The sequence below is a fragment of the Homo sapiens genome, chromosome 15, assembly GCF_000001405.40.
Source record: "Homo sapiens chromosome 15, GRCh38.p14 Primary Assembly".
NCBI classification, from domain to species: Eukaryota; Metazoa; Chordata; class Mammalia; order Primates; family Hominidae; genus Homo; species Homo sapiens.
In genome coordinates this window covers 23,732,475-23,742,761 of record NC_000015.10, presented here as the reverse complement: position 1 = coordinate 23,742,761, position 10,287 = coordinate 23,732,475, and the positions used below count along the sequence as shown (strand labels likewise).

The window sequence follows — 10,287 nt, the reverse complement described above, 5'->3', positions numbered from 1 at the left end:
TCACCCTTTATATTCATATTGCACTGGAGGTTCTAGCCAGGGAAAGTTGGCAGGAAATTCAATGAAATTCATATATATTGAAAAGGAGGACATAAAACTATTTCTAAGTGTAGATTGCACGGTATCATATACAGAAATTCCTAATGATCCTACAAAAATATTAGAGATGATTTACTAGAGCAAGTTTGCAAACTGCAAAAGATCAATATTAAAAAAAACAGTTATATATAATAAACAATCCAGAGAGGAAATTAAGAAAACAATTATATTTACAATGTCAAAAATAAATACTTACGAATAAATTTAACAGAAGAAGTACACCACTTGCATGCTGAAAACTACAAAACATCATTAAAAGAAATTCAGAAGAATAGCATTGATTTTGTAAATTGTTTTTGACAGTATAGCCATTTTAATGATATTGATTCTTCTAATACATGAACATAGAATATTTTTTCTATTTGTTTTTGTCATCTCTGATTTCTTTCAACATTGTTTTGTAATTCTCCTTGTAGAAATCTTTCACTTCCTTGGTTACCTGTATTCCTAGGTTTTTTTGTGTGTGGCTATTATAAATGGGATTGCATTCTTGTTAACTACCACTGGATTCAGCAATCCCACTCCTGGGTACATATCCAGAGGAAAATGAGTCAGCCTACCAAAAATACACTTGCACCTGTATGTCCATCACAGTGCTATTCAAAATAGCAGAAATGGAATCAACCCAGGTGCCTATCAGTGGTGGATTGGATAAAGAAAATGTAGCATATATACATCATGGAATACTATACAGCCATAAAAGAAGAATGAAATTTGCAGAAACATGGATGCAACTGGAAACCATTATTGTAACCATTTCCAGAAACAGAAAACCAACCAGCACGTGTTTTCAATTATAAGTAGGAGCTAAATAATGGGTACATATAGTCATAAACATGGGAATGATAGATACTGGGGAATACAAGATGGAGGAGGGAGGGGTTAAGTATTGAAAAAACCTACGTATTGCGTACTGTGCTTACGACCCGGATGATTGATTCATTCATACCAAACTTCAGCGTCACAAAATATTTTCCTTTGTGGCAAACCTGCACATTTACCCCCAATTCTAAAATAAAATCTGAAAAAAGAAATTGACAAATATTTAACTAAATGGAAAGATAATCCATGTTCATTGATTGAAAAAATTCATATTTTTAAGATGCTGCTACGGTTTGAAGGTCTCCTCCCAAAGTTCATGTTTTGAAAACTTAACCCCCAGTGAAATAGTGTTGGGATGGGCAATATAGTAAGAAACAAATGAATCATGAGTGTTCATCATCATTAATGGATTAATGTATTTATTGCAGGAGTGGGTTAGTTATCATGACAATGGATTGTTACACAGCAAGTCAGTCCCTGATGCTGTTTTCTCAGTCTTACGTTCTCACTTGCCCGTCCATCATGCTATGATGCAGCATAAAGGCCCTCAACAGGTGCCAATGCCATGCTCTTTGACTTCTCAGCCTCCAGAACTAAGAGCTGAATGAATTTCTTTCTTTGTAAATTACCCAGTCTGTGGTGCTCTGTTACAGCAACAGAAATTGACTAAAATAGATTAAAGCACTCCCCCAAATAAATCTTTAGATTCAACACAATCCCTACCAAAATCCATGCTGGCCTTTTTTTCTCACAAATTGACAGGCTAATTCTTTTCTCACAAATTGACAGGCTAATTCAAAGTTCTTATAGAAGGAGCTGATAATAGCCAAAAAATCCTGAAAAGCAACAAAATTGAAGGACTCACATTTTCTAATACTAAAATTTTCTACATGGTAATCAATAGACCGTAGTATTCACATGAGTGTAGACAAAGACCTGAGGGAACAGAAATAAACTTACGATCTGAGGACAATTTATTTGTAACACAAGTTCCAAAACAATTCAATGGGTTAAATAATAGTGTTTTCAAAAAGTTGTTCCAGAAAACTGTATATTCAGATGAAAAAGAATAAAATTGGAGCTCTCAATCAACTGAATCTTGACCAAACAATAAATATAACCACTAAGAGATAAATCTCAAAACAAAACAATCCTCAACCTAAAATAAATAATAAATAAATAAATAAATAATAGAAGAAAAAGTAGCTGTAAATCTTCATTTTCTTGGATTAGGCAAGGTCACATGTGGTCATAGGTCACAGATATGACATCAAAAGCACAAGTGACAAAAAAGGATAAATTAAACATCATGAACTTGTGATTTTAAATGCACTATCAGGCTGAGAGTGGTGGCTCGCCCTTGTAATCTCAGCACTTTGGGAGGCCGAAGTGGGAGGGTTCTTGGTGGAGGAGGGAATTAGTAGTGACTGATAATGGGTATGTGCTTTTTTTTTTTTTTTTCTTTTGAGACAGAATCTTACTCTGTAGCCCAGGCTGGAGTGCAGTGGGGCCGTCTCAGCTCACAGCAATCTCCGTCTCCCAGTTTCAAATGATTCTCCTGCCTCAGCCTCTGGAGTAGCTGGGACTACAGGCAGGCGCCACCACCCTCGGCTGATTTTTGTATTTTTAGTGGAGACGGGCTTTTGCCATGTTGCCCAGGCTGGTCTCGAACTCCCGACCTCAGGTGATCCACCCATCTTGGCCTCCCAAAGTGTTGGCATTACAGGCTTGAGCCACCACGCCCAGCCATGTGTGTGTGCTTTCATTCTGGGGTAATGAAAATGTTCTGGAACTAGACAGTAGTGATGGTTGTACGAATTTGCAAATATATTAAAAACCACTGAATTGTACACTCTAAAAGGATAATTGTTATAGTATTTGAGTCATATCTCAATAAAAAAGAGTATGTGATAGTGGCAGAAGGATAGATGATTGGTTGATCAAACACAATAGAGAACTTAAAAACATACCCCCTCATCACTGTGGCCATATTTGACAAAAGAGCAAAAGTAATTCAATGGAAAAATAGAAGTCTTTTCAACAAATAGTATGAGAGCAATTGAACATCCATAGATGGAACAATGAACCTTGATCTAACTCACAATTTATCCAAAAATGACATCATAATGGACTGCAGAATTAAAAGTAAGTGTAAAATTTTAGAAAAAGCATAGGAGAAAATTTTCAGAATATCCAACTAGAAAAAGAGTTCTTAAACCAAAAGCAAAATCTATAAAAGGAGAAATTATGTGAAATTTTATTAAAATTATAATTATCATTATTTTTGCTCTGTGAATGGCCCTGTTAAGAGCATAAACAGACTACAAAACAGACAGGGCAAAAATATTTGTAAACAACATGTCCGACAAAAGATTCATATCAAGAATATATATAAAGTCAGGAAACAACAGGTGCTGGAGAGGATGTGGAGAAATAGGAACACGTTTACACTGTTGGTGGGACTGTAAACTAGTTCAACCATTGTGGAAGTCAGTGTGGCAATTCCTCAGGGATCTAGAACTGGAAATACCACTTGACCCAGCCATCCCATTACTGGGTATATACCCAAAGGACTATAAATCATGCTGCTATAAAGACACATGCACACATATGTTTATTGTGGCATTATTCACAATAGCAAAGACTTGGAACCAACCCAAATGTCCAACAATGATAGACTGGATTAAGAAAATGTGGCACATATACACCATGGAATACTATGCAGCCATAAAAAATGATGAGTTCATGTCCTTTGTAGGGACATGGATGAAATTGGAAATCATCATTCTCAGTAAACTATCACAAGAACAAAAAACCAAACACCGCATATTCTCACTCATAGGTGGGAACTGAACAATGAGAACACATGGACACAGGAAGGGGAACATCACACTCTGGGGACTGTTGTGGGGTGGGGGGAGGCGGGAGGGATAGCATTGGGAGATATACCTAATGCTAGATGATGAGTTAGTGGGTGCAGCGCACCAGCATGGCACATGTATACATATGTAACTAACCTGCACAATGTGCACATGTACCCTAAAACTTAAAGTATAATAATAAAAAAAAGACAAAAATATATATATATAAAGAACTCTCAAAATTCAAAAGTAAAAACAAAAAATAAGAAAAAATGCCCAAAATACATGAAGAGACATTTCACTAAAGAAGGTATATAGATAGAAAATAAGCACATAAAAAGATAGTTAGCATCATTACCTGTGAAGAAAATGCAAGTTAAAACCACAATGAGGCCGGGCATGGTGGCTCACACCTATAATCCCAGCACTTTGGAAGGCTGACAATTGCCTGAGCCCAGGAGTTGGAGAGCAGCCTGAGCAACATGATGAGATGCTATTTCTTTTTTTTTCTTTTTTTTTCTTTTTTTTTTCAGACGGAGTCTCGCTCTGTTGCCCAGGCTGGAGTGCAGTGGCGCGATCTCTGCTCACTGCAAGCTCCGCCTCCCGGGTTCACACCATTCTCCTGCCTCAGCCTCCCGAGTAGCTGGGACCACAGGCGCCCACCACCACACCCAGCTAATTTTTTGTATTTTTAGTAGAGACGGGGTTTCGAGATGCTATTTCTATAAAAAAATACAAAAATCAGTCAGGCATGGTGGTGTGCACCTGTAGTCCCAGCTACTCAGGAGCGACCAGCCTGGGCAACATCGTGAGATTGTGTCTCTACAAAAAGTAAAAAAATAAAATGAAATGCACTATCAAAAAGTGAACAGATGACCTGGGCATGGTGGCTTGTGCCTCTAATCACTTGAGAGGATCGCTTGAGCCTGGAAAGTCGAGTCCGCAGTGTGCCGTGATCGCGCCACTGCACTCCGGTCTGGGTGACAGTGAGTCTTTGTCTCAAAAACAAAACAAACATACAAACGAAAAAACACAATTGGATACCATGACACATTTGTTCAAAATTGCGAAGAAAAAAGTGACAATGCAAAATGCAGAGAAACTGAATCATTGTCCCATGCTGTTAGGAAAAAAATACATACAGCAGCCCCTAAACATAGAACTACCATATAATCTAGGCATTATACTCTTGGTAAGTTATCCCTAGAGAGATGAAGACTTCGGGTTTGCACCAAAACTTATCCATGAATGTTTATAGCATATTTATTCATAATAAGTCCCAGACTTAAAACAAGCCAAATACCTTCAACTGGTGCCTGATTAAACCAACCATGGTACCTGCACTTCCTGAACTATTCAGCAGTTAAAAGGAATCAAGTATTGATACATACAACAGCCAGCATGGATAATCTCTAGACGATTATTCTGAGTGAAAAAAGCCAAATTCAAATGTTAGACATTCTATGATTCTCTTTATATAAAATCCTCGAAATGACAAAATTATAGAAATGGAGAGCAGATTAGTGGTTGCTTGTGGTTACAAATGCATTGGGCATGCAGTGAGTGGGGGTGGCTATAAAGGGTGCTGTGGAGGTCCTTGTGGTGATGGGGCTATTCTGCATCTTGGCAGTATCAGCGTCAGTGTTCTTGTGACACTGTACTAGAAATTTTGTAAGGTTATGATACTGGGAAAAACTGAGTGAAAGTACACAGGATCCTTCAGCATTACTCCTTATAACTTCCTGTAAATATACAATTATTGCAAAATTTGGAGTTAAAATCATTTCTATTTCTATACACTAGCATTAAAAACTTGGAAAATAAAATATTAAATAAGCCACACTATTTACAATAGCATCCCAAAATGTGACATACTTAGGGATAAATTTAACAAAACATGAGGCTAACCCACTGACAATGACCCATTCAAATTGTTCCTGGCAAAAATATGCAGCACACCTTTGGCAGCCTGTCCAGATCCACAGGTTCAGGCCTACATCTGGATATTGGAGAAAGGGAGCCGCGCTAATATCTCTGCAGTCAGGGTGATGCTGCTGTGGAACCTATTTTCACTAGGCATATACCTCCTAGCTTATTCTTTCCCACCTCATGCATCTCTCTAGGGTCCTCTTCACCTCTAGACTGCTTTTTTCTCTCACTAGGATCTCAAAGGACCTTAGAGCACATTACAGGGCATACATCTCGCTTTCATTTGGACATATTATTCCCCATTGACATTTACCTTCTGAAATCATCATACCCCAGAGCATAATGCCCTGTCCCTTAATTCAATATAAATTTTAAATGTCCTTCTTTGAGCCACAATTGACAGGGAAACAAAGTTAAATAAAACACCCTCGCTGTCCTCCAGGACTTCACACTATTAAGGATGAACTAATTCATTTAAAGAGAACTCAAATTACAATAGACCTGTCTCAGCAAACTTATGTGGAACTTAAGGGAGCCTAGTAACCCGTCTCCCTGGCAACAGTTTCCACTCTACGCATTGCCTAAGGACTGATTTCCTTCCCTCCCTTCCCATCCCCTCCTATTCGTCTATCTTCCTGATCAAATAAATTTCATGCCACACTCAGAATACAAGAAAGAGAGAAAGTGCAGGAAAGAGGGGGAAAAAAGCCTAGATGTGGTGCTAATCACCTGTTGGAAGCTGTGCCTGACTCTGTACATTTCATTTATTCAGAGTCTTAGAGCGACTAGACCAGTCCAGTGCCATTATTTCACTCACCATGGGAAGACACAGGGACTGGGTCTCCATAGAGAGCCTCACTGTGTGCAGGGAGTAGCTTCAATACAGAGGAAGAATATCAGACCCAGAAATCATGACACTGCCCCTGTTCTCCTCTATGTTTAAAAATAATAATAATAATAGGGCCAAATGATTTTAGGGAAGATTTACAAGGAAAAGAATACAAGAATTGGGATACTAAATGGCATTAAAGACTATAAGGGGTTTAAAAAAAGCCCTACCTTCATCAACAAAAACAAAACAATGAAAACAAAGGGAAACAACACAAGAAATATTAGACACATTACTCTCTCCACCCCTCAGGTGTTCCTACTGACTATAACAATAAATTAATACTAAATAATTAAGGGATACAAATAGTTACAGTCCAAATCTCTCTCTTTGAAAAACACATACACACACACGTACAATTATACACTCAGTGAAAAATGTGAATAATTTTAACTTTGCTAATCATTAAACTAAAGCAAAGATTCCAATTCATAATCATCAGATTAAGAAACTTTTTATTCCTTAAATGCAAAATTAAGATGACATTGTGCAAATCTTATGTCTTGTAGCAAAGTGATGCCATAATACACAAGGTTCAGTATTGATTGAGCCAGTACATTTGGAAATCAGACGGCATCATAATCAAATGCCATAAAACATATTTTCAAAAAATATTTCACCCTTTGCCCCACTGAAACAATCCCATGTATCTTATAATGAAATATGACAAAAACTAGAAATATACCAGTGCATATGCAAACGTTCAAAGAAATATCATTTAAAATGACCCCCCAAATTGGATGTGACCCGAATTTCTAATAACAGTGTATAATAATTAATTGAATAATGGTCTTTTCTCCCTTATAGATACTCATATTACCTAGAAAAATAATTACTAGGTCTATCTAGTGGTCTGAAAAGTGCTTGTGAAATTACTGCCAGGTGAAAATCAGAATATAAATTACATATTGCTATCATTTCATCTACTCAAAAAACATTTATTCATATGCAAATAAGGTCTAGCCAGGAACACAATATTATAACATGTATTATGTGTGTGGCATTGAAATTCATTTGATCAGGAAGATAGAAGAGTGGGAGGGAATGGAATGAGAGAAGGAAATCAGTCCTTAGGCAATGAGTAGAGTGGAAACTGTTGCCAGGGAGACGGGTTACCAGGCTTCTGAAATAGCGTAAATGAGAGATGATGAAATTCTAAACCAAGGCAGAGGATGCGGGGATAAAGAAAAAGGAAAAATTGACGTTACTTTGTGTGTGTGTGTGTATATATATAGTCTTTCTGTACAAAAAATTACATATTATTATATATAATTTCTGTACAAAACTACATATATATAACTATATATATAATTTTTGTATAGAAAGACCATATCTGAAAAGAAAAGAAAAATGATTCCTTTTCCTCAGGAACAAAACAACTAAAAAACAAAAACAAAATCAATAAACAACAACCACAAAAAAAAAATCCCAAAATACAGAAAGTAAATGTTACACGGGCCTTCGGACTATTGGAATAATTTGAAATAATAGTATTAGGTACTGTTTACAAATTACTTAATCAGACCCGGGCAATTACCTCTTGTCATATTTTTATGCAGCATATGAGATATTTTTTCATTAGTATCCTCATTTTAAAGAGGAGATGACTGAAGTGGAAGGGGTTAGATACCCTGCCCCCTGTCACACAGGGAGACTGTGGGAGATCATTCTAGAACTCCTACCAGAGAATGGGCCCTAACTTATACCCTGAATTACATTCCCAGTGCCTGGGAAAGAATGATAGGATACACAGACCTGAATTAAATCTGAAAATCAACTTCTCTTTGCTTCTTTTATTCTTTCTTCTTCCCTTCTTCTTTCTTCTCCTTCTTCTTCCTTTCTTTCTTTCTCTTTCCTTCCTCCCTTCCTTCCTTCCATCTTCCCTCTTCTTTCTTCTTTTTCTTCTTTCTTTTTGGCGGGGGGTGGGGGCAGTGGTGTTAAACTCATTTCTAAATATTTTTGGTCTTCTCCATGCTAGTGATTTTGCTATGAGATTATGGTTTGCAGTATTGGTTCCCCTGTGGAAGGTTAATAGTTAACAGGTATATAGGGATTACAATTCATGAATAACCTTTCAAATTAAAGAAGAGAGAGGAGGTTAGGTTCACCTTTTAATTGTTTGTTGGGGATAAATGGGTGGAGTTGACAAGTAATGAGAGATGGTGGTGGGTCTAACAGAATATTCAAAGGTAAATTTATCTCCCCTCTCCAAATAGCAGAAGAAACCACAAGTCCGGGAACCTAACTCTACAGTCTCTCCCTGGGTAGAGACTGGTGTTGGGGAGAGCAGACCAGGAGAATATGCTATAAGACAACTTAGACAGGGTCACAGGAAGCAGGAGCTGTATTGCAGTGTGGAATGTGTGATGAGCAGCTGATGAAAAAAAAAAAAAAAAAAAAAACAGAAAAACAGGCACTGCAGCACATCAAACAGACGTGGCGAAGATGACTATAGGAAAATTCTCCAAAATCCAAAGTTATTGGATTCGCACCATGGGGGTTATAAAAATGTTTTGTTTATTTTCTATATTTTCCAAATTTCATAAAAAGGTATACATTTTACATAAACTATCTGTATAAAAATTAACTGAAACCCAGTAAGCTGCATTGCTCTGTTGAGTGGGCTCTCGGGCGAATCCAGCCAGTAGCACTGCTTCACCTCTCACATGCACTCAGGGTTTCCAGAGGTACTAACCGAGGACTCTGCCCAAGACAATGACTCTGAAGGATGGACTATTGTTCGAGCTGTGCATTACTGGCCTAAATTTATAACTGAGCTGAAAGCATAAGCTAGAGAAGGCTAACTATATGTTAAAAAGTAGAATCAGTCACAAGAAGTTAACTTGATTTATAAATACCATTCTAAACAAAAAATAGCAATACCATTAGCAGATAAAAATTAAGAAAGGAGGCTGGGCACAGTGGCTCACACCTGTAATCCCAGCACTTTAGGAGGCCGAGGCGGGAGGATCACTAAGGCCCAGGAGCTCCTGACCAGCCTGGCCAACACAGTGAAACCCCATCTCTACTGAAAAGACAAACAATTAGCCAGGCGTGGTGGTGCTGGCCTGTAATCCCAGCTACTCTGGAGGCTGAGGCGGGAGGATTGCTTGAACCCAGGAGGCAGAGGTTGTAGTGAGCCGAGATCACGCCACTGCACTCCAGCCTGGGCGACAGAGCAAGACTCCCTCTCAAAAGAAATAAAGAAAAGAAAAGAAAAGGAGAGAGGTTACCCCATATCATATGTGGTTACTATCTATACACTATCAATAAGTAAAACACATGGAAAGCTCAGGGAATATCCCTTTTAAAAGTAATTTAGAAAGAGGCAAGAGACATACATTATGAGTTGACCAACCTCACTGTATGCAGTGTTGACGTGTGGAGAAGTGGGCATCAGTGAGCTGTGGGGATCTCCAGATTGAAGGGATCTCCAGGTTTGTAGAAACATATGTGAAGGCAATCTGGCAATATGTCACAAAAAAATATATAATTATATTGTGTAACACAGCAATTCCTTGTCTAGGACTGTGTACAATAAGTGTTCAGAAATAAGAATGTATATTGTGGGGATAAATACTAGCAAAAATTGGAAAAAATCCTAAATGTCTATCCATAAGAAATGTTTTAAAGAATCTCTGCCTAGTTAACATGATAGATAATTGAGCATTGCTTAAAGTGTCTGAG

The 10,287-nt window shown here is 37.7% G+C and overlaps 1 long non-coding RNA gene across 1 annotated transcript; it reads right to left on the bottom strand.

Moving 5' to 3' along the window:
- Positions 1-7,038: 7,038 nt before the first annotated feature.
- LOC124903577 (uncharacterized) lies at positions 7,039-10,064 on the bottom strand. Its single transcript, XR_007064790.1, has 2 exons — positions 9,959-10,064; positions 7,039-8,618 (listed from the first exon to the last, which is right to left on the bottom strand). It is a non-coding gene; the product is annotated as an uncharacterized LOC124903577 (long non-coding RNA).
- Positions 10,065-10,287: the final 223 nt, after the last annotated feature.